The sequence below is a fragment of the Homo sapiens genome, chromosome 17 (assembly GCF_000001405.40).
Source record: "Homo sapiens chromosome 17, GRCh38.p14 Primary Assembly".
In the NCBI taxonomy this organism is placed as follows: domain Eukaryota; kingdom Metazoa; phylum Chordata; class Mammalia; order Primates; family Hominidae; genus Homo; species Homo sapiens.
In genome coordinates, this window is record NC_000017.11 from 48,284,023 (window position 1) to 48,308,847 (window position 24,825).

At 35.9% G+C, this 24,825-nt stretch overlaps 1 protein-coding gene and 1 long non-coding RNA gene across 12 annotated transcripts in view, besides 1 other annotated feature; one reads left to right on the forward strand and one right to left on the reverse strand.

Moving 5' to 3' along the window:
• Positions 1–24,825, reverse strand: part of SKAP1 (src kinase associated phosphoprotein 1) — a 311,620-nt gene that overhangs the window by 150,581 nt on the left and 136,214 nt on the right. The window lies entirely within an intron of this gene.
• SKAP1-AS2 (SKAP1 antisense RNA 2) lies at positions 10,325–23,807 on the forward strand. 2 transcript variants are annotated; one of them, NR_131239.1, is made up of 3 exons: positions 10,325–10,493; positions 11,524–11,583; positions 23,309–23,807. It is a non-coding gene; the product is annotated as an SKAP1 antisense RNA 2 (long non-coding RNA). The 2 variants fall into 2 exon arrangements; NR_131240.1 differs by lacking the exon at positions 11,524–11,583.
• Positions 16,074–16,163: an enhancer, noted in NCBI's record as "active region_12328". NCBI's record gives its function as "activates an Ori minimal core promoter by ATAC-STARR-seq in GM12878 lymphoblastoid cells {active_cell/tissue: GM12878}" and the evidence as "EXISTENCE:reporter gene assay evidence [ECO:0000049][PMID:35858748]".

Genomic DNA, 24,825 nt, shown 5'->3' on the forward strand with positions numbered 1-24,825 from the left:
ACAGGTAAAGGAGCTGCTCCCTCCCTTTCATATTGCTAAGATTTCCTTTATCTCTCCACTTGCTTCCCCCTCCTTCCTGCTAAATCCCACACAGTCCCTTCTCCTAGTAAGAGCTGCCAACTTGTTGACTGGCCAATTCAACTCCATTTATGGCAAACATTTGTAGTTGTTCTGATTTTAATGGGGCTACCCTTTATAATAATGTTTTTAAAAAGTAGGTCACGAATAGAACCAATAAAGATAAGAAATAATTTCTGGAGGCCAATTTCTCTTAAGACATTCTATATCAAATAAAAACTTTATGGTGGGTTTGAAACACTGAAACAGACCACTCATGAGTAGTTATTAGAACATGGAGGAAAAACTGTTTGCCATTTTAGCATAGGTAATTTACAAAATGTCATTCTTTTCAATGTACTCAGAGGCACATGGGCCTATGGTGGGTTCTGCCAATTTCAAAGGTGATGATCTATGAAGGAGATTTGGATATGAGTACACAGGTGACTTCTATGTTCAGACATACTCTGTCATCATGTTCAAAAACAGCTTCCAAAAAGCACAGTTGGCATGTTGTGAGAAAAAATACACTTATATTCAATATATCCCTTTTTTATAAGTAACGCAGGGATCTATACATCTTTGACAATTTTGCTCTCACCTTAACTAGAGAACATATCTATGTCAACTAGCATATATTTTAGCAGTTGTAGAAGGTTGGAAATCTTAAAGGAAACCAGACTTTAGCCAAGTCTGGGAGGACCTGCCTTTCAGGGGCTGCTAAAGAATTGGTGGAGACATACATGGTAAGACTGAAAGCATTTGGATTTTCTTCACAATTCAACACAATTCTCCTATAGTAGTCATTAAACTCTGATCAGGTTACCAGATTGGTAGTTTTCAGCACACTGAAATTCTTAGTTGCTGAGATTTATGAAAGCCATATTGAAAGACATTGAGGTATGGATTTGCCTATAGAGCAATTATTAATATATGGAGATTTCTCTTATAGTAGGCCTGAGTCCTCTTCTGACGCACAGAGAGGGCCATGTTTTATGATTTTGGTGCATTTACTCTCTAAGCTCTCCAAATCCTCACAGCCATCTCTAAATGTTCTTTTATGGTATTTGCTTTATGGCCAAGATGTTATTAAGTATGAGAAATGAGGCATTTAGCAACATATTTGAATAAGGGAATAAGATGGGAGTGGTGATTCTAGTAAAGGAGCAGAAAGCTTACTTATACCTCCTCTCCTTTATACGATACCACCTCCTCTTTCTGGTCATACTGAGTCTAGAGAGAAAAAGGGAGCCCTGGCCGGGCACTGTGGCTCATGCCTGTAGTCCCAGCACTTTGGGAGGCCAAGGCGGGTGGATCACGAGGTCAGGAGTTGGAGACCAGCCTGACCAACATGGTGAAAACCTGTCTCTACTAAAAATACAAAAATTAGCCGGGCATGATGGCGTGTGCGTGTAATCTCAACTACTCAGGAGGCTGAGGCAGGAAAATCGCTTGAGTCTGGGAGGCGGAGTTTGCAGTGAGCCAAGATCGTGCCACTGCACTCCAGCTTGGGTGACAGAGCAAGACTCCATCTGAAAAAAAAAAAAAAAAGGGGAGCCCCTATGTCAATATTTCCTATGAGCCCTTTTGATCCTCTGACCCTAAACAAATGCTGCATTTTTATCATTCATTTTTTTCTCCACCAGAAATCATAACAGCCATTATGTGCAATTCTGTGGTGAGAAAAGGAGACAGGAATTCTGAATATTGCTCCTTAATCTGTTCCTTGTTTTCTCAGACATTTACTTTTGGAGTCAGATGTATATGAACATTCCTGATTTGCCACAGCTGAGCAGTATGGCTTTAGGAAAGTTACTTAACCTCTCTGATTCTCAAGTGTCCACATTGATGAAATGGGCATGGTAATATCTACTTTACAGAATTACTGTGAGAATTAAAATGAGATATTATATGGAAAACAGCCAGTACAGTGCTTAGCACATAAAGGGCTCTCAATAAATGATTGCAACAGTAATTTCTGATAGCAGTGACTCAGCTTGGGGAAAAGTCTTAAACAGGTTGGGGAGGCTACCTCAAATGCTTGATGAAAGGAGAAAACATAGAAACAAACAAGAAGACAAATGAGGTGTCATTCATTTTACCTTACAGAGAAGATCTGCTGTATAAGACTAAATTTTAGGTGTTTCTGAATGTGGGATTATTGTTAGACCACAGCAGGAAGGCTGTTTCAATCATATAGGGATGCATATAAGAAATGTGAAGCCTGGAATATATAACAAGATTTATTTTTATAACCTTCAGTGAGAGGTATTGTGCAAGTATAAATTATATATTTTCACTTTTGTAATTATACCTAAACCACATACTCCCAGAAGATTTCATTATGTAATTCCTCAAACTTAACTTCAAGTTTCCTTTATAAAGCAATGTTCTATAAAATTGCAATTTTCTATAATATTGCCATTGCAATTGCTATATGTAACACTTCAAATAGTATATGTGGGATCTCTAGGTATTTGAACTAGAAAAGCAAAAATAAAGGTTATGAATTCAGCCAGAGGCAAACAACCAACTAGGAATTACTGAGTGGATCTAAGTTATATAAGCATTCAACAGGCAAATTAACATCTACAACATCCCATAACAAACACACACACACTCGACTTCTTCCTCAAGAGCAAGAGTTCTTTTGGCTTTGAAATCAGCTTACTAGTTGCTTCCCCACTTTCTTATAACTCCTCTTCATATTGCTCATCTTAATCATCTAGATAATTTTCGCTGGGCGCGGTGGCTCATGCCTGTAATCCAGCACTTTGAGAGGCCAAGGCGGGTGGATCACGAGGTCAGGAGGTCGAGACCAGCCTGGCCAACATAGTGAAACCCTGTCTCTACTAATAACACAAAAATTGGCGGGGCTTGCTGGCGCACGCCTGTAATCCCAGCTACTCGGGAGGCTGGGACAGGAGAATTGCTTGAACCCGGGAGGTGGAGGTTGCAGTGAGCCAAGATCGTGTCACTGCACTCCAGCTCTGGGCGACAGAGCAAGACTCCGTCTCAAAAATAAATAAATAAATAAATAAATAAATAAATAAATAAAATAAAAATCATCTAGATAATTTTAATTTCTTTATCAAAGTTATTTGGCAAATTGTGCCAGTGCCACAGCTAGAACACAGGAGTGACTCTTACCACCTGGTTCGACATTTTCATTACCTATAGTCAGCAACATCCCTCAAACCTACAAAATTCACAATAATAATAGAAAATGAAAAATATATCTAATAAGCAACCTAGGCTTTAAGAGAATATCAGGGTAATTACATTTTTTTTTAGTAGAACCAAAGGTAAAACTATTATATATCGTTCCAAGATTCTAACTAAAAGAGTGTACACAAAATATTAAACTCGAAGGTGTGAAAGGAAGTGATATATGATTCCTAATAACACGGAATAATGGTATAATTCAAAGCAGAAACATAGTTCCTACTAGGCACAGAAATTTTTGGTAAGAAAGAAAAAAAAGGAGGCATTTCTGAAAAATAAAAATGCCAATATAAAGCATACTTTTATAAAAACTTCTCAGTACTAATTTTTATTTGCTCTCTGACTATTAAGTACTAAAACAGGGTTAAATTGATTAGTTTGCTTGCTATTATTTATCAGTTAGTTAAATGCTGCTCAGACTCTAGAGTTCATTAGCTTATCAGTCAAATACCCGTCAGCTGTACATAAGGTCTCATATACCAGCTTGCTTATCAACACATATATACAAACGCAAGTGGAAAAGAAAGCCTATTTAAAATGTATATTTAGAATTGTTCACAGTAAATATTTGACACAGTTAACCAAAATGTCTTAGCACTCTCTTACGTCTTACATAGCATCATAATAAAAACACGTAACAGAATTCAAAGCAGATGGAGCTCAAAGCTAAGCCATAAACTTGTGTTTTTTAAAAAAGAGAAAAATTGGTAAAAACATGGACTGACTCAAGAGGAACTTGGTATATCTTTAATTTAATTACTGTATATTTAGTAACAGTGTTACTTAATTTGACAAATATTGAATTCTCTAATTGATTATTTGCTAGTCTGATTTCTATGAATTCATGGGAGAGTTTAAGACAAGTGGTAACATTTAATGAAGGCGTGTTCTGATTAATTATCTCTCAGTGATCTGTCTGACATACAGTGAGTTATGAAAGTCATCAATAATTTCCCCTTATTTTTAAATAGCAATAATTCTCTCTCTATAAGAAGTTATATCTTAAGGGTTTTTTAAGCTATAATTCATCAAAAACAATGAAGCACTGGCTAAGAATCTATCAAAATAGTGGCTGACTACCAGATTGAAAATAAATTTACGCTGGGTGCAGTGGCTCACACCTGTAATCCCAGCAATTTGGGAGGCCAACGTGGGTGGATCATCTGGGGTCAGGAGTTCAAGGCCATCCTGGCCAATATGGTGAAACCCCGTCTCTACTAAAAACACAAAAATTAGCCGGGTATGGTGGCGTGCACCTGTAGTCCCAGCTACTCGGGAGGCTGAGGCAGAAGGCTCGCTTGAACCCAGGAGATGGAGGTTGCAGTGAGCCGAGACTGAGCCACTGCACTCCAGCCTGGGCGACAAAGTGAGACCATCTCAAAAAAAACCAAAGCAAAGAAAAGAAATTTAAACATTTTAGTACTGGAGGCAGACTGCTAGGAATCTTAGCCAACTTGTTATCATAACCGTGTCTACCTAAAGGCAAGCAAGAGAAATGCTGGGAAATAGCACAAAACAGTGATTTTGAGAAAATACAAGAATGATATATACATATAAAATAAAAGTATATAAACTTGTGCAGTGTATAGCAAAATAGCTACTTGTAATATAACATGAATAGTGTGGCTTCAGGCAATTGAACAGAGAAGTGAAGCTGAACGCTGCTATGCCAACCAAATGGCAAATGTGACACCTGATAATGTAAAACAGAGGCATCCCCAGGGCACCATGTAAAATTATTATAAAGTGGTGAAATAACAATATAAAGTTAATTTTATTAAAATTAACAATACTTCCCATCAGCACAAGACAATCTATATTCAAAATTAAAACAGTAGGAATGTTTATCTATTCAAGCATTCTGATAGGCTAAATATTGTTGACTGCTAAAAGAAATAAAGTTTTCAAGACTCTTTTTCCTATATATTCATAAATACTCATGCTTATGAGTAATATCATATTCAAAGGCCTGAAATTAAAAACATGTTTCCTTATGAAATTTGGTATATTTGGCATGTCATTAAAAAAATTCCTGCCTACTTTTTAAAAAAAAATTTGATATCTTGGAAATAAAAGAAGGGATAAACTGATCAAATTTTGCACTGTACTGTTTAACTACAATAAATAGAAATAGGTAAAATTAGTAATTTCACAGCATTATTTAAATATTAATGTTTGCTGATTTCTACTACTTTCTGATATTTGAAAAACTGATCTGCATTCACTTGCCAGCTGTGAGGTGTTGTGTTAAACAGAAGTATAAATTTTTAGGCTCTGTTAGCTTTCATAAAATAATACTGAGTGTTTTTTCTTGATTACAAAAAGAATGCAAGTTCATTACAGAAAAAAATGAAAATACAGAAAAGTACAAGGAAAAAAGAAATATTAGCCCTATTATGTTGTAATCTGTAGTCATTATTAACACTTTAGAACACATCCTTTCAGTATTTTTATCTATGCACCAATAAGTATATATATATATTTAAAAATTAATATTTAATCAAAAGTAAGCCTGAATGAAGACTACGTCATATTACAAAATGAATTTTATTTTTTCATCTAAACTAAAGGAGTATTTCAGAACATGTACCATGTTTCACCTAAAGAGTGGCTGCAGTTATATAATAAACTACATCTGCTGAAGAACTGAACATTAGTTTAAAATCCAGGAGTTAAGCAGTCAATAGTACCCTGAAGTGGGTGATGGAAATATTCTCAGAATTAGTATGAATTTTATTATTAAGGGACAGATGGATTTATAAGATCTCAAAATTTTGAGGCACATTCTCTATTTTAGATACTTGAAAAATCTGTTTCATATGTTTGGATATCAAAGTCCACTAAATCTACTATGATAACAATTCGTCTATGAGGCCAGTTTCATGTCCTTGATGATTAGAAACTAAACATGGGTTACAAGGTAGAGAAAGGGGCAATTCAAGAATTATTTGTAACTAAAGATGGTATGTTTTTTAATGTTATTATCAGAGGAAAGAAACAAAACCATTAAAAAATTATGTAACATTATTAAATTTAATTCAAGCCAATAATCTAAGCTTACACTGAACACTCATTCCAACTATTTAACCCTGGCTGCTGAGCTGAGGCTATAACAGCAGGTGGGTTATCAGACAATGCACTAGAATTTCACAAGATCGATTAAGTCAGAAGATAAACAAGAACTTCCCCAGCCTCTTTTATTCTTCCCGGATAATCTGTTTTATGTTCTTGAGGAAGGAAAGGCAAATCTTAAGCTTTACACTGTACCTTAGCACACTTTGTCTCTCTTCCCTATTTTATTTCTCACATAGTTTACATTACATCATGTCATTTCATTTATTGCCCCCTGAGGAATGCAAACTATGTGAAGGCAGGGTTTTCCACTGACATATCTCCAGTGCCTAGAACAGTACCTGGCACATAGTAGGTGCCCAGTAAATATCTGTTGAATAAATGAATGAGATTTCTGTAACTGGATAATTAGGGTTAGCAGAAGTCAATTTTAAATATTCAAAGAAAAGAAAAATATTTTACAAAAAATTAAAGACACTTCTGACCTGGTGTGGTGACTCACACCTGTAATCTCAACACTTTGGGAGGCAAAGGCAGGAGGGTCGCTTGAGGCCAGGAGTTTGAGACCAGCCTGGGCAACATGGTGAGAATGTTTCAAAAGACAAAAAATTAGCTGGCTGTGGTGGCATGCGCCTGTAATCCCAGCTACTCAGGAGGCTGAGGCAGGAGGGGTTTGAGGCTGCAATGAGTTATGATGGCACCACTGCACTCCAGCCTGGGTGACAGAGTAGACCCTGTCTTAAACAAAAACAAAAACAAAAACAAAATCATAAACTTTTGCTCAGAACTTGCATTTCTCTAACTTTGCAAGCACAAATTTTTATACCTGTTGACCACCTTCATGGGGTTACTTTGAAAATAGTAATTACTAAAGCCCACTTCACTGAAAATTTGAGAGTTAATTTTTAAAATTTCTGAATTTTGGGGCCACTGGTGCTGGAAAAAAAAATTACTCTCTCTGTTCTCTTTCTTGTAAAAAATTCAGTGCTAACCCACACAAATCCAGACAGCTGCCTCATCTATTCTGCTTCATCTATTCTCTTGCTGAGGACATTCTATATTCTTAGGTTCCTATTGAACAACAGCACCATTCTGAAAAATTTGCGTACTGGCAATCAAATCATTCTGCAAACAGTAACGCAGATTCCAATGATAAGATGAGTGAGCAGGATGCAAGAACATCTTAAAGATCACCTGCCACACTTGTGTTTGAGGTGCTCAATGGCTGTTTACACCAAGTGCCATCTGGCTCTATAGATATAATAACAATTATTCCATTGAGGTGTGTAGCTCCCTAAATCATATTAATATACAATGATTCCGCTAGTCTTATAGGAGTTGATGTCTTTGTGCGCTCTCATTTAACCTGGGTAATGCGCTAAAACAAGTCTGCCTCATCATTAAGAATTGATTTTTTATTTATGTGAATGTCACTGGCAATCCCATGATATCCCTTTGTAATTCAGTTGAACAGGACTGCATACTAGCGTTAATCTATTTTTATGGCATATCTTTAAAAATTTGCAACATCTTGCTACATTTGGATATTTATATAGAGATTTGTGTTCCTGCAGAAAGCTGTTGTTAGCTTTGGAGATCCACTTCATATAGCAATAGGGCAAGTATCTAATATACTTCATTAGCTATCTTATATCAGATAAGGGTTTATTTCTTTAAATTATTTAACCTTGGTATAACCTACTAAAATCACATAAATCACAAATACACTAATGAAAATCATTAGTTTAGCCTATTCAAAAAAAAAAAAAAGAAAGAAAGAAAGAAAAGAAAAAAGAAAACTTCCAACAGGGATAAAATTAAAACATTTTAAAATCAGCCCTCTGGAAGCATTTCATGAAAGTAACTTGGTGAATTTGTCATGATCACTCATTTCTTAATGTTGTCATTGGTCAATCGTTTAGTCATTGATGTTAACAACTATTCTGATGTGCTAACATTTGTAAAAAAAACCAAAAAAACAAAAACACATCGCTTTTTTTCTGGCTGATTCAAAATCTGATTTTAAAAGTCATAGTTACAACTATTTATAAATATGCCTTCATGAGTTTTGCTAATTTAAAATGAGATAAACACAATAAGCAACAATAAAAAGAAAAAATACATATTTTAAGATACCAAGAAAAAATACTACATCACAAAATTATACTTTAAATCTAGTCTTCCCAACAGTATTTACAAGATTATTAAATAATTACCTTATGGGGAAGTTCTGTCAGAACACCTCTCATATTTGGATGAGTATTATAGACTTTGAACCTGTTCATAAAGCAATAGCAAGCTTCTTCAGAAAGTCACTGAATTTTGGGCATGGGGAGATATGGTAAGTTATACTGCAGGTCTTGACCATTTCATGCTGCTGCTTTAAAGGCAGAATTACTCTTATGCTGTTGAATTTATCATACACAATTACTGATACTGCAACTCATAAGGAAGTTAAGCAAAGTTTCAGAACAAATAAATGAGGTAACAATTTTTCAAATCTAAAGGATTTTGAAGAGGATTGTCACTGCAAACTATAAACTACTGTAAGATTCTTGGTCTAGAACAATCTCTTGTGGATTATTTAGACAATTTTTAAAAAAGCACACTGGGGCAAGTTCATTTTTCTAACTTGAAAATATACGTCGTAAAACTTAATTAAAGGCTCAAACTTAAGAAAGACACATTCATAAAAAATCTACATTTGAGTTAGATTGTGAAATCTATGTAGTTTTCAATATAATATATTAATATCTGTAATCCTTAAGCTGTAATTTTTACAAATATGTTTTCCAAGAGCTGCATAAATTAACTTCTTTATGTATTGTATATGTTATAAATAACTAGAAGGAATTACGTACTTTTATATTCAATAAATAAATACATTTAAAGCTCAGATACTTTCACTAAAATAGATCCACAAAGAAGCTTGGAATGTTCTTCTGTGGTCTTCAGAACTATGTGTGGTGAGCAATTATCAGGAATAATACATGTGTCTGTTTTTGAATTCAGTAAGCCTTCTAAACATTATTTTAAAACTACTCCACAGAGATGATAAAAGGTGTATTAATCACCTAAATGCCTATAAATTGAGATTTAAGGTCAGAGATATTCCCTTAGTTTACTTAAGATATTCCTTGGATATCCCTTAGATATTTCCCTAGTTGTCCCACACGGGCTTGCTTGATCACACATCATATCCTGGTACATACGAGGTTCTGAGTTAGCACTGTGGAATTGGTGTACAAGGCTTACAAGTCAGCTTTTAAAACGTAATAATGATAGCATCTATAATACTATTCTAGTGATTCTATGCTTTTCTTTTTGTTAAAATCATCCCTTATTTTAGGAATAAGCTAAGTAAAGAGGGAACATGGAGTCAGACTGAAATCTACTTCAGGGCTCACCTTTGTCGGATGAACAGTGAACGCTCTGACATTGACATTCACAGCAGCATTGCTGCCGGGTATTGCTATAATTTGCTCTCTATGATTGTTCCTTTAAACAAAAAGCTCTGCGCTCAGCATGCAAAGAAGTTAGAAGTGCGGGAAGGAGGGGGAACCACACATATAAGAGGAGAGAGAGGAAAAAACTGCAGATCAATCATTTATAATTAACAAAAATCCGATTGGTGCTTTAAATAGAGATCAATGTGTTCCAGGCTGCCTGGATTGTGGGGATGTATTCACCTTCTGGTAACTCTCCAAGCAAGCTGTCACACCTACAGAATCACCATTTGTTTTCTTAACAAAGCTTCAGGGGGCGCCAGGCTCTCATTGAAATTTCATTAATCTAATGGAGTAAAGTCCTATAGAAAAAAATCAAATTCTCGTTGGACGAGATGCTACCTGGGAAAGATAACCTCTGTTTGAACTCTCAGACTCGGATCTCTCTGCTATTAGTCTGAGGAAACAGACAGCAACAACGCTGATTACAGCCACCGGCCTCAACAATTTTTTTTTCTAACTAGCAATTTCGAGTGCAAGTGCCACAGTGTCAGCTAAAGAAACACAACTGCGGGTTTTCTGCAGAGCAAAATGGTTCTGAAATGTCACTGAATAGCTCACAAAGGACGCCAATCTACGACAACAGAGACATAAGCATATAGGAGAAAGGGTCCACACATCCTCCTTTCAAAGGTATGTTGTTTACATGCATGTAATTTGTGAAACCCACAGCTATTCAATTCAGGGTTTTCGCAGAAGTCTAAACCAAAATCTGTGTAGAAAGCAATTATCAAGATTCCTCCAAAAGTCACAGAAATTTGGGTGTGGGGAAATTATGACATGTTATACACATAAATAGATGCCCTACATAGTACATGACCTATATAGTATAGTCTTCAAGTTCCCAAGACATCAATTATGGCTGTTACGTGGTGATGATACTTCAGCATCACCTCCATGTGATTTGACTCACAAGTTTTCAAAAGTGGCCTAAATCTGGACATGTCAATATATAGTAGCAACAGTTACTTTGAGAGGAAAATATGGAATGTTGATTCCTTAAAGTTCTTTCCAGGAATGTCCCCATGGCTCATCTGACACATGGTAAGGGTATATGATGGTACACCTATGTGACAAAAAGAGCCAGCATGACAAAGGCTGCATCTATGCCAAAGTAAAATAGCTTTTGGTACTGCTTATTTTTTCCCAACTTAAATGGCTATTTGTAAAAATTTAAATGACTAACAGACCAGTAGTTTTAGGCACAAAAGTCTAAAACAGAGAATGAAACAACCTGTAGAAAGCCCTCTGCTAGACTCTTATATGATCACTATGTTTTGCACGAAGCAACTGGGCAAAGGAAGTTGACTTCAATCGGGCAAGATCACAGTCAAGTTCAGCACTGCTTTCTGATTCCATAGACGTCTAAATCTGGAAGTGACAGTGCAAACCTTACTTGTGTTAAGGAAGAAGACTTATTGTACTTTAAACTAAAAAGAGAAACTAGTAATTTGAACATAAACTACAACTTGTATTTCCTTTCTTTTTAAAGCAGGGACCTAAAAATTGTAGCATATGATAAGGAGAAAAAAGTCATACTTTGAAAAAAGAAAAGGAAGGTCATGACATCCTAGGCAAGCAATTGAAAGGATTCAAAAAATTCTGAGTCCATCTTTAAAGATACTTTTTTTCTTTTACAATAAGCTTGCCGTTTTTCACCTAGGTCACAGAAAGCTTGCTGCAGATCAGGAAATGTCTTCAGTTTCCAAAGCCTCTCATAGCAGTGAGTCACTTCCTCTTTTTTTTTTTTTTCCATTTTCGCTGTTTATGGGTAAACATTGCTCTATTTGGATATATTTAATATTTTTGTGTCTGGCACAAATTTATCCATAAGGATCTAGCTTCTTTTCATACGTAATTCCTTTAATTTCCTGTCTGAGATCCACCTGTAGAATTATACTTCCGGTCTCCATCTACATCCTGTTTAAAGATATCACCGAGAGTGATATACCAATTTTTTAAAATTCTAAGCATTAGGAAAATGAGTACATAACACATTTATGTGTCTATGTGTATATACTATTTATGTAAACATATAATATATGCAAAACATATATGCATATACACATACGATATATGCAAATCTGTATATAGAAAAACTTAGTTTACTCAAGATTATTAAAATTGATCCTGGGAACAAAACAATACACCTTTTCTAGGCATTTATCCCTACTATAGAGACAGAGAAAGAAAGATTGTGAGAGGGAGACACACACATTCAGATGAGCCTTCAGGGAATTGTATGAACTTTTGAACCAGAGATGGAGAGCCAGAGCCCAGCCTGTTCCCACTTTAATAAACATTTTTTTCTTCAATTAATTAAGGTTTGGAAAGAAAAAAAAACCACAGAAGAGAAGTAATTTAGCATGCAATGCATACTTTACAGATGGATCCTACCTTCGGATGCTTATTAAATCTATGCATGACTGCGCTGGAGAAAATTAATTGCATTGTTTCTCACTATTGGAAAATAGGTTGCAAACAGCTCAAAAATAAAAAGGAAAATGAAGCAAGGTGGTTGTTGTTGTTTAAAAAAACAGCTATAGTATAAAAGAAATACTTTCAAAGTCCTAAAACAAGTAATACCCACGACTGGCATAAGAGCATAGATTTCTTTAAAATTGTTTTGATGTTTCAAAATACCATATATGCTGCCAGAATACATGTATCTACTTTAAGTTTGCAAATATTCTGGTCTAACTAAAATTTCCTACTCAGTAGCATTTGAACTATTCAGTTAAGTGGTAAGTTTTTGTTCAAATCCTGCTGTGAGGAAAGATTTACGTGAGCAGCTGGGAGTAGACACTGGCACACATTCACTGCATCATGGTTGGCTGGTATTCTCTCCATTCCAGTCTTGGGAAAAAGTGATAACTTCCTCATTTTTTCAGAGAAAAATAGAAAATATTATTATAAAATATTCAGAATACAGGTAATCATTTGCATTTTATCATCTTTAATTAGGAAAAAAAAAAGCACTACAGCTTCAGAAACTGAAGCCATTTTTCCTTTTCTGAAGGCCTGCTGGTGGAAGTTGAACTGTAACCTCTCTTAGACTGTCCTGAAAATGACCTTTATCAAACTTGAAAGGAGCATTCTCTGTCTAAGGAGTTAGACATTAATTTTCCTAACTCACATATTTCTAGATTTAAAAAAAATCCTTGTGTTACTTCCTTATAGACACTCCTTTTGGTAGGCCTTACCCTGTTGTTGACTGACTAAAAACATTTCACTTAAGAACTTCTAAACTTACTTGATTCCATGACCTAAATAGATGGTGGTTTTATTTTACTCTTTCACCTACTCTAAGTCTATAAATCAGTCTCTCTAATCCCTGGTTAACATGGTTATTTTAAACTATTTATCATGACACAAATTTTGCTAAAAGTAACAAACTAAGTACATATAAATAAATGAATCAGTCCTGTGTACAACAAGTTTTGTAGATACGGGTAAATATATACATTTACTAACATTGAGATTTATTTATATAGTGCCTTTCACCAGCAGATCTTGAAGAACAATATAAATGACCTTATAACCTTATAAATAGTTACAGCTATTATCATTCTTAGTTAGGAATGGGGCAAAACAAGATCATAGATAGTACAAAACTTCTAAAACAAGTGTTCACTTTTATTCCCTTGCTTTAACTTTTAAATCAGACCTACCACCCTTTTAGGGTATTAACCAATTAAAAGTAGAGTCTCATCAATGATTAAAAATATATATGGTTCAGTTCAGGCACGATTCAAAAGAAAAAAAGCCATGCTGCCATGAGAAACTAAAGTCAAAACCAAGCCAATGCCTTGAGCTGCTAGAGTTTTTGTAAATGTGACATAAAAATGTGTGGTTCTTATTTTATTGGTTATTAAAAAGAACAAAAGGGCCTATAAGGGAATGGACCTATGTAACTTTACCATTTCAAAGAACCATTGAAGGTATAAAAACAGGGCTGGCTTCAGAAATTTTGGCAGTCGCAGTCTTACTTAAGCCAAACCACTCTGATAGGTATAAAATGCCTGAATAATATAAGCGGGAAAAGGTCCAAGAAGGGAGATTTCTTAGTTTAAGGCACCTGAACCTGTTTCCTGTTTTCAGAAAGATCTCTTCTGTTTGCTGCACTCCAACCTTGAGCAGCCACTCCCACAGGGCTGACTGCAGCCTATACCTGCACATTTGACCTGCCTCTTGATTCCAGACTCTTTCCAGATGTTCCAGCGTTTATCTTTTAAAAGTTTCCCTTGCAGTTGACACCATCTTCCCCACCTTAAATATTTATTGGAAATGACAGTTCTGTATGTCATCCTTAGCTATTGGTCATCTAAAGTTTCCGGACTTCTATAAAGAACCTGTCACATTAGAGTATTTTATTATCTTTCTGCATAAGTCAGAGTGAGCGTCAACAAACAACTAGTCAGAAGCTGCGGGCAAAGCAGTTTTGGTAGCATGGATAACTCAGGCTCTCCTTGGACTGATTCTGATTGACTATGTGGAAGGGGTTACCCTGGATTCCCAATTCTAGAAAAGTAGATGATTGAATTCACTTTCAGGAATCCAAGAGTTTAGAATAAGTTTCAGATTTTGAGATACTGACTATAAAATAAGAATAGTTAAAAGACAAAAATTAAAAACTCTTAACTGTTTTAGACTTTATTTTATATTTCTTATGCATCTTACACTGAGTAGTACACTATTCCCTTGGAGCAAAAAGCTCCCTGATGACTACGTAATTCGCTTCAAGACACTATGTTTTGATTTAGCAAATCCCTGTATTCATTTATTTCATGAGATCCTGTTTTCATGAAAGAGTTAAACTCCTTCTATAAGGTAAAGAGCTTAATCACTATGGGATGAGATATTTTTTCTATTTTCCAGTGCAATTACTCTTTTTCTTAAATCTAATTGAATTCACTTTCCATGTTAGTGGGGGAAGGGAAGTGGGTAGGAGGGATGCAGCATATGTTAGAAGACAAATAGTGTAAACTGTAGACCTTTTAATACAGTGGATTTTTGTAAAGATAAAAAATTGTGATCTGATAAAAATGTTTAATATTCAGTGGTATGGCAGGCGTGGGGGAAATTTTGACCATCAGAAACTGGATTTTGTGTATGGAGAATATCAGGGACATTGCATAAGGAACATTCGTATTTATAATTTATAAAGCACCTTGGGATTCTCTAGACGAAAAGCACCATATAAATATGAGCATTTTCATTTCATGTGGGTGATCACAGAATGTTGGCATTTCAGCATAAACCATATTTCAGTAGTGAAAGGGATATAAACTCTTATGTAGATTTGGTTTTGCTGCCATTTTCTCTTCCCTGAGTTGTAACATACACAATGGAGCATGCCCTTATTGGCTGCCTCCTTTACCTTTTCTAAAGTTCCTGTCTATTTCGTTTTGTCTTTGTGGTGTCAATGTACTGTCCAGCATTTGGCTTTATACTCATAAGCTAGACTACTGAAGGAAGTAAACATTTATCTTGGATCTATCTGGTATAGTGTTTTCCATCCTTCAGTATTTCTGATGTCTAAGGGAGGAAAACCTCCAGATATCATTGAAGGGGGAAGAGGGGGAGGCTGTCACTCTGTGGCACATTAAGACACAGTATAGAACAGGAGACTACTATTATTTCAAGGTTCTTTGAAAGTTCTTTAGGATATGACAGAATATATATGTATGTGTGTGTGTGTGTGATTTGAAAATCTGGATCATACAATCACATTTTAGGGGATCAATCTGACAAACATTTATTGAATGTCTAATATGTGCTGACAGCCCACAATCCTTTGGAGATGCCAGTGTATGTAATACAATGCAGGTAAATGGTGGTAGGCAACAGCTATGATAACTGATCAAGTAAAATGCAAGACAGGAAGGGGTTGAGTCCAACCTGGGGCAACTAGGAAGCCAGCTAGAGAAGAGGGAGTTTGAGCATGGCCTGGAAGGATGAGTGGGTGGATGGGAGGATGGGAAAGGCACTCCAGGTGGAAGGCACAGGGCTGGGTTTGCGGAATGATGATGAATAATCCTGTGAGGCTGGGGTTTGGGGCATGAGTTTCACATGTAGGAGGTAAGATGAAAGGTAGGCTCAGTATTTCAGGTCATGGTTTCAAATCCTCTTCAAAATAAGTGTAGGTCATGAAGCTGCAGTGTTATGAGAAAACTGTTTTTAACTATGAGTGTTCCTAGCTTATTATTTCCCCTGTGTGCTCAAGAGTTTCTGGCTTCACTAGTTCAGGTCCTTCCCAGGCTCACCATCATCCAAGGAGGGCTCTGCCATTCTCAGTCAAGTGTTTTGGCCTTGTGATGCAGCATGGGGAGAATGTGGAGAATAAGATACTTAGGTTGACAGTAGAAGACAGGGAGCAAAGAAGCAGTCTCCACCCCATATCTTCAAGGATTAAGAGAGACAGGGCAGAATGGCATGGGACTGTGAGAGAGTTCTGGGACAGGAGAGTGAGAGGCTCCAGGGAGTTCTGGGGATTTTGAAAAAGGAGGAGAAGTTGCCTTGTAAAATGGGCTACAGGTATTTTTGAGGACAGAAATTCCTACTTTTGTTGTGCTTCTGTGAATGTGATACTTCTTCAGGACTGGGTCCTGGTGTCAAAGGGATAGACAGCTCAGTGTGAGATTGCATGTGATTTTCCATGGTCTGGAGGCTATATTATATTTATTAACCACATATTATACCAAGAGAGAGTGATGAGGGGTGAGCCTAAAAATGAAGTGGATCAGAATCTTTTAGCATTTTGCTCCTCCATGAATTCTCTATTTAATGATTAATGTTTGTTGAATAGATTGAGATGGTTCTCACTGTATATATTAATTACTGCTTAACAATAATGTGTTTTCTCTTAATCCTGTCACATCTCTTTAATGGCTGCCTTAAACTTCCACTTTCCAGTCTCCCTAAGCTCTAGGCCAGTCCCTGCTCCATGGCTTTTTACTCTTAGTAAATGGCTTTGCCTTCTCCTCCCTTCAAGTAAAAATATCTCCGTATCTTCATTCTCTTCTATCCTTTAACTCCTTTCTCTAAGGAATGAGTCCCCTGCCTGTTAGCCAGGACTGATTCTTGTATAGTATTGACTGACCCATTTCTACCTTTCCAGGACCTGATTCTACCCATTATCTTCTCTTTTAGACTGGTTCTTTCTCATATGCTGGAAAATCAGCTCAGATCTCCCCTCTCCTAAAACTAAAACAAAATAACCAAAAAGCTCCTCTCTCCTCCTACCATTTATCCCTTTCATTCTTTTCACCAAACAACTTTTTTTAGGTAACATATACCCACAGCCTCTAGTTTCTGAGTACTCACTCACTCTAAGATCACTAATAACTAGGCTTGTTTTTAGTAGACTACTGAAACTGCTCCTTGGAAGATGAGCAAAGATCTTCTTGTTTTGTTTCCTCTCTATTCCCACCAACCCTTCCCATCAGCCCAATATCCAACAAATTATAAATTTTCAGGGAGATTCCCAATTACCTATCTTTATATTCCTTCAGCACCTAGCATTATGCATTGCACATGGTAGAGACTCCATGAGTATTTGAATTGAATCTAGATTTCTTTCTTTCTTTCTTTTTTGAGATGGAGTCTCGCTCTGTCACCCAGGCTGGAGTGCAGTGGCGTGATCTCGGCTCACTGCAACCTCCGTCTCCTGGGTTCAAGAATTGCTTGAACCCAGCAATTCTTCTACTTCAGCCTCCCAAGTAGCTGGGATTACAGGCACCCACCACCATGCCCAGCTAATTTTTGCAGTTTTAATAGACATGGGGTTTCACCACATTGGCCAGGGTGGTCTTGAACTCCTGACCTCAGCTGATCCGCCCACCTTGGCCTCCCAAAGTGCTGGGATTACAGGCGTGAGCTACCGCACCCAGTCTGAATCTACATTTCTTAGACCTTCCTTATGGTCCCCTGGCTCCTGATTTTCTTCCACCATGTTAGGAACCTTGCAGTAGTCTCAGTGCTACAACTGGCATCAGGGCACATAGCTTTCTTTAATGAGCTTACAGAAATAGGAAATATCTCATCCTCAGTTGTACACAACAAAATTTTTAAAAAATTATCATTTATCAAAAAATATAATGAAGACTATGTTATTTTGATTTTCTGTTGAGATTATAGGAAACCAACAATAAATAATCCAACGTAAAATAGCGTATCATAATGATCAATGGTAGTGATCAACAACTTAAAAATGAATTCAAAACATGCTAATTAGCCAAACTTATCAAGTGAGTCTCCCACTGACCCAAACATAAACCACTTTTTATATTATTTGATAGCCTATATTTCTTGAGCATTTTCCCAGAAAGTGCTTCAGGTGGCTGATATGATATATACTAAACTATATCCAGGAATTGAGCCAATCACTACTATAATAATATATTGATAGGACATCTTTAATAAATATGATTTTTTTTTTCTGCAGAGGGTAGAAGAACACATATTCTTACTTCAAATCCAAACACTTAAAGATAATCAATGAGATGTAGGGACTTTTGTACTACTATGTTGCTCTTGCGTGTCTTATATTGCTATGGAATTTCACTAACAGGAAGTGAAGTTTCCTTCTCCCCTCCATTTCATGGAAAACCTTTAAGAGTGGTGAGGAGCAGCTGAAGTGCCACTCAACTTCTTTCACATGTATATATGCTGAAGTTACTCCGCCAATTCTCTACCCTACCTTGCTGTCCACCTTATTGCAAGCAATATGAAATGCCCAAGGAAGTCAATACTAGCTTACTATAGTTGTTTACTTGTAGCATTCCTTTAGAATGGGCCTAACCACCAAAAATACAAAGAATCCATGAGTTTCTGTGGTGCATTCTAATGCTCAGTTAAAATCCATCCTCTTTGTCACTATTTGGTTCAACAGTTTAGGTCAACAAACACTCTGGGAGCACTTACTTGGGGACAGGCATTGTGCTAGGGCTGCAAAAAGCCAGAATCCAGTGAGGGATAGAGATTTGTAAGCACAGAATTTCCATATAAGACTGGTAGTGATTTGAAGAAGTCAAATCACAGTGAATAATAATTTTAAAAGAGTGAGCTGTGTTTTGGGCAATTATATATTTTAAACTTTATCTTAAAATATAGAATTGCTCAAATTTAAAAGTTGAAATTTAAGTTTTTAAAGATCAATGAAATGCTACAAAAATAATATATAAACAAGTACAAAGTGAAAAAACAAGACAAAAACATTGACTAGCTTAGTCACTGAACAGATTGTTCTCAAAATAAAGATCTTTAAAGGTAGCAAACTTGGCCAAAGAAATATTGGAGAGTCTTACTTCACAAGCAACTTTAAATTTGCTTTCTGGTTATGCTAAGACATTACCAGGTGATGAGCATTCCAAGGCCACTGTCCTGTGATACTGTGGTGGGAAAGGGGGTCTCCTGGTCACAGTATGGTTTTCTCTTTTGAAGGCTCTCTATCCCTAGATATTCTAGTTCAAATCATTTCTCATCTCAACCACTTCAAATAAACTATGAATAGTCTTTTACCTTAATGCCTATGCAATTCATCAAATACTACTCAGTAGTCTTGGAAATATAAATAGATGAGCATTTTACTCTTAAGAAGCACTTTATTCACCTGGTCTCACTACAGCTCTATGACCAAAGTTGTTGAGTGAGTATGCTAAGACCATATTGAACACACATAAAGGAGGCAGACTTTAAAGGGACCGCTTTCCTTCAGGCTCCTCAATTTTTGTGGCTATAGAACCATCTTATGTCAGAAAACTATATATGTGCAAAATATTAGTTTTCTGACAAAATATCTGTAGAATACACAGGCTTGGGGAAAAACCTTCAAAAATTTGACTCCAATGGGTATTTCCAAGATGAAATACAGTCCTCTGAATTTATCATACCTAGGACACATAGAAGGTTGCTAGATAATAAGGGGATATTTTCTTGCTATCTATGAAATAAACTGTCAATGTTTGGGAAACCCTAAGGCGTACAGGTCACTAGACTATTCAGGAGTGTGAATGCTAAGGTTATAACTGGGGATTATACACAGAAACATCATAATATGTGTGAGATTTCATATTTTGTTTTTATCACATCACCTCAATAGACACTAAGGAAACAGAAGTAAACTTGGGAATGGCTGTGAGTTTTCAAGTTAAAAGAAAAAATGAAAGAGTTTTAAATTCACAATCAGCTATATTACTTGATTTTAAAAGAAGGGATGATTTGCTACATCTAATGTAATACCAAAGTATTATATAACTAAAGTAACTATAAATTAAGCATAATGGACCTCTATAAAAAACACTTATTTTATGTAATAATGACACTTACAGACATTTTTGTATATGCATTTTTGGAAAATCCAACTTTTAAATACAGATAAGGAAAGGAAGTCTCTAACCTGTCTAATTCCTGGTTCTATCATACAAGAGGATAAAGACATTTTGGAGTAGATTCCTTTGAAAGTTACAATAATAGCTGGAAGAACAGAAAGCAATGTAGATAAGCAAAGAACAAAAGTGTGGGAGAATGATGGGAAATTCTTAATTTCAGCTGCAGGAGGTGATGTAGAAGTTATAGAAGGTAGTGTAGAATTGTGTAGAAGACAGAGACAAGCTCATCTCCACTTCTAAAAATTAGAGCTAATGGGCTTCTGCTGTATCACGAGAGACTCAGACTAAACATGAGCAACACAACCTGATAGGAACAGCCATTAACATAAAGTGGCTTTTTAAAGGATATAATGAAACATCTTTCTCAAAATATCAACTAAACAGAAGTAATTATTCATCTTTCTGAGATACTTTAGATGTAGTATTTGTTTTCCAAAGACAAGCTATGGGAAGTCTTGTTTTCCAAGGCAGGTTTCAATTCTTTAGTTACACAGTATTGAATTCAAAGTAGTAACCCTACCATTGGAGCTAGGAAGTCATTGAATTAAAAAATTTCTTTAACAAAAAGAATTCCCTTTACTCTGCATTCTCACCAATATCTGTTATCTTTTGTCTTTTTAATAAAATCCATTCTGACTGGGAAAATTTTTTTCTTTAATAGTAGTAATGAACTAGAGACCATCAGGTTCAACTCCTTATTCTGTATATTGAGAGGCAATATAGTATAGTGCAGGGATTGTCAAACTATGACTTGGGCAAAATCTCACCCACACCATTTTTTGTAGGTCTTAGAAGCTTAAAATGATTTTTATATTTCTAAATGGTTGGAGAAAAATCATATCTTGACATGTGAAAATTATATGGAATTCAAGTGTCAGTGTCAAGTTTTTGTTGTTGTTGTTGTTATTTATTTGTTTACTTTTAAAGAGACAGGGTCTCACTTTGTTGACCAGGCTGCTGGAGTGCAGTGGTACAATCATGGCTCACTGCAGCCTCAACCCCCTGTACTCAAGTGATCCTCCCACCTTGGCCTCCCAAAGTGCTGGAATGACAAGTGTGAGCCACTGCACCTGGCCTATAATAAAAGTTTTAATGGAACACAGCCACAATCATCCATCTACGTATTGTCTAAGGCCACTTGCACACTATGATATATTTGCGCATTTGCTGCTCTTGAGACTGTATGGACCACAAAGCCTAAAGTACTTACTATCTGGCCCTTTATAGAAAATGTTTACTGACCTCTGGTCTAGTGGCTGAAGGACGTAAAGTCTAAAGCTAGATTAGCTGGGAGTGATGCTGGAAAAGATGGAGTGCCTCACTTTCCTGTTCCCTGAGTTCCAGTTCTGTCAACTGGGAACAATAATGGTACTTATCTGATAGGGTTGTTGTGAGAATTAAATGAAAGTGTTTAGAACACTAGTGCCTGCTATAAAGTAAGGATTCAGTAAATGTGAGATATTTTTATTATTACACATGAAGAAACTCTGGCCTACAGAGATAAAGTAACTTCACAAGTTCATAGAATTTGCTAGAGGCAGACTGGGAGAATTTCCTGATTCTTGCTTACATTATATTGCCTTTTTTATTTTCAATATGGCCTGACCAAAAAAAAATTGTTGTGGCTTTTTTGTTGCTGTTTTTAAACTACCTCATGGGCTCTCTAAATGAAAACTTTAGTTTCACCAGACTCTTCTCCTATCAATCCTGTTACCTGTAGTTGCCCAAAGACAAGTTGTGGAACATTTGAGATTTTCAAGTTATACATAAAGCTTCTAGAAGTTAAAATTTTCTTTATTCTTTCTAAAACAGGATAATAGAGGCCTCTACAACTCAAATCTGACAAATGTGTTAAAAATTTTTGTTGCTGCAAAACCTTCAGAAACAAATAACTGAAGTATGTATAGAGACCCCAGGATCTGAAAAGATGGCAGATTAGTCCATGAGCATTCAAAGATACTTGTTATTCCCAGTATAACATATCCCATTTTCTCTGGTCATTTTTTTTCTTTATTAACTCTTGTACATTACCAACACAACCCCAGATTTTGCTTATTCTATGAAACCTCCCACACCTAGAATGTCTACTTAGTGGTCCTGGACAACCACCTTTTTCAAGGCTTTGTTCATAAGAGGACTTACTTCATTAAATCCACTCCCAGTTGGTCACTCCATTACGCCACATTTCCTTGTCAGTTGGTACACAATTTTAAACAATTATGCATTTGTCACTGCTGTCTAATTGTTCTCTAGTTTTTCTCTTTCTAAATAATATATCTTGCAACAAAACTGTAATTCCTTATAACCAGTTACACACCTTTTTTAAAAAAAATCACCCATAGTACTTAGTTGAAGTTATTTACCATAGTAGGTATTCAACAAATGCTTCTTGCATTAATAAATGAAGAACCACAAATACATCCTATGAACAGAATTTCAATTTTAGAATGAATCAATAACACCTTTAGACTACCATCAAGATTGTGAAAGTGATAATTTTTGGTACATGAATTTAAAGATCATCTAAATTAAACCAAAAGTGTAAAAGTACCTTCATTAAAATGGAGACTACAACCTATAATAGAGAAATTAACTCTAGATCCCTAATGCTTATTACTCCTTTCGGATACATCATTCCATGACACTGGAAAATATTAGATCTGATAGGGATTTTGCAGGTAGCGGTAAAACCTTATGTAAGTATTTTTTTAATCCACCCACGAAGGATTATGTTGAATTCCCAGACAAGTATAATTTTCATCTGCATGTCTAACATACCTATAGCAACATTACTTAATATATGAGTATGTGAAGTATATTTTATTATAGTAGTAGACAAGCAAACTGAATGTGTCCCAGGAAGGGGTCTTTTCCATTAACTTTTATAAAGGCTTTCATTTCAAAGTTTCATTAACATCTGACAAGCAAGCTGAAAAAGCTTTGCTTAGAGCTTAGGTTAGGGGCAAAATGCATTTTGGTAGAACTATTCCAAGATTACACTGACTGACTGTGCGAGAATATACTAATTTGTTTTGTTTTGTTTTGTTTTGTTTGGAGTGTGGAGAAAAGAGAGAGAAAGGGAGAGAAGAGTCATGGACCCTACTTTATGGTTGCCATGGATGCAAGGTCAGCCTTCCACACTTGGATCTACCAGCAGAGTTCAGACAGGTCAACGTGTGACCGGCTCAGGCCCTGGGGTTAAAAGTTCAAGCAGCTATGGAAAAACCAATATGTCCACGCAGAGTATGCTGTACAATTTATTTCAATTTACATCAAGCCATGCATATAAAATTTAGATAAATTCCATTCAGATCTGATGTTGCCTGACACACAATGTATGCAAACAGATGTCTGTGGGGCTTTTTCTGTGCTTTAGAAAACAACATTAAATTTAAAAATATGTCTCTGGGATTTCTTTATTGAATTACAAAATGAACATAATTTTAACTTAAATGTTTTCATTCTTTTTTCCAATTTTTTTGTGTGGGGGTCTTAATAATTTCTCAGTTCTCAATCTACTCTATGTCATATTAAAGAGGATAATGTATATTTACAACTACAGCTTCAGTGTTATTGTAGTTATAGATTCTATTTATATCCCTTACCACTTTCCGCAAATATTTAGTGATTGATATTTCTGATTTATCTCTGGTTTCTAGCCTCATCTCCATTCCTTTCTACTTTGAACATAGCAAGTCCTGGAGGCTGCTGGGTCGTCTTCCAGCCACAAGGTGGCTCCCCCAATCCCTTCTCTCAAGCCAATCGATGTACACCTTTGCTGAGTTCTCCAGGCGGACTACAATTCAGAGCTAATTATGATCTATAAATGCCATTATTTTCATTGTGAAGTAAATGGCTTATGACCAAGACCCTGGTACACTAAGATACAATGCAAAATTAGTCTTTAAAAATAGGAGAAAGAAAAATACCTTTGTATTTGCCTAATTTCTCTTCACCCATCCTTCCAAAAGTACAACTGAGCTATCCTTAGAGTAAAATAAGAAAAATAATAAAAGGCTCCAGAGGAACCTAATTTTGTTGTCAATGAACATAGTCATAGACTAGACAAGGTCAAATTTTAAGAAAAGTATACAACTTATTCTCACTTAAACTAGACCTACTTTTGGATTTGATATTTTACCACAAGAGAGTTTTGATGAGAAGACTTTGCAAAACTTTCTTAGAAGTCCCACATCATGCCATCATTGAAGAACAGTGATCTCCAATACTGCAAGGCTTTAAAAGGAGTGGAAATATTACATATTTCCTTTTTGTTGCTTAGCAAACATGTTGCATATTTCATAAATGTGATTTTTATAGAAGACATCATAATTTTCTACAGCTGAAATAGGCATAGAAAGACAAATCATTCATCCAATTACATGGAAGGTCTTTCTAAAAGTCTGAGTCCTAATTTCTCACAGTTTTTCATTTTCTGTTCTGGAGAGAAGCTATTTAACCTTTGGGCAAGTTTCGTTTTCCTTATCTGTAAAATGGAGATAAAAATAGGAACTATGCCTCATGGGATTTTTGCCAGGATTAAATGAGTTAATATACATAAAGCACTTACAAAA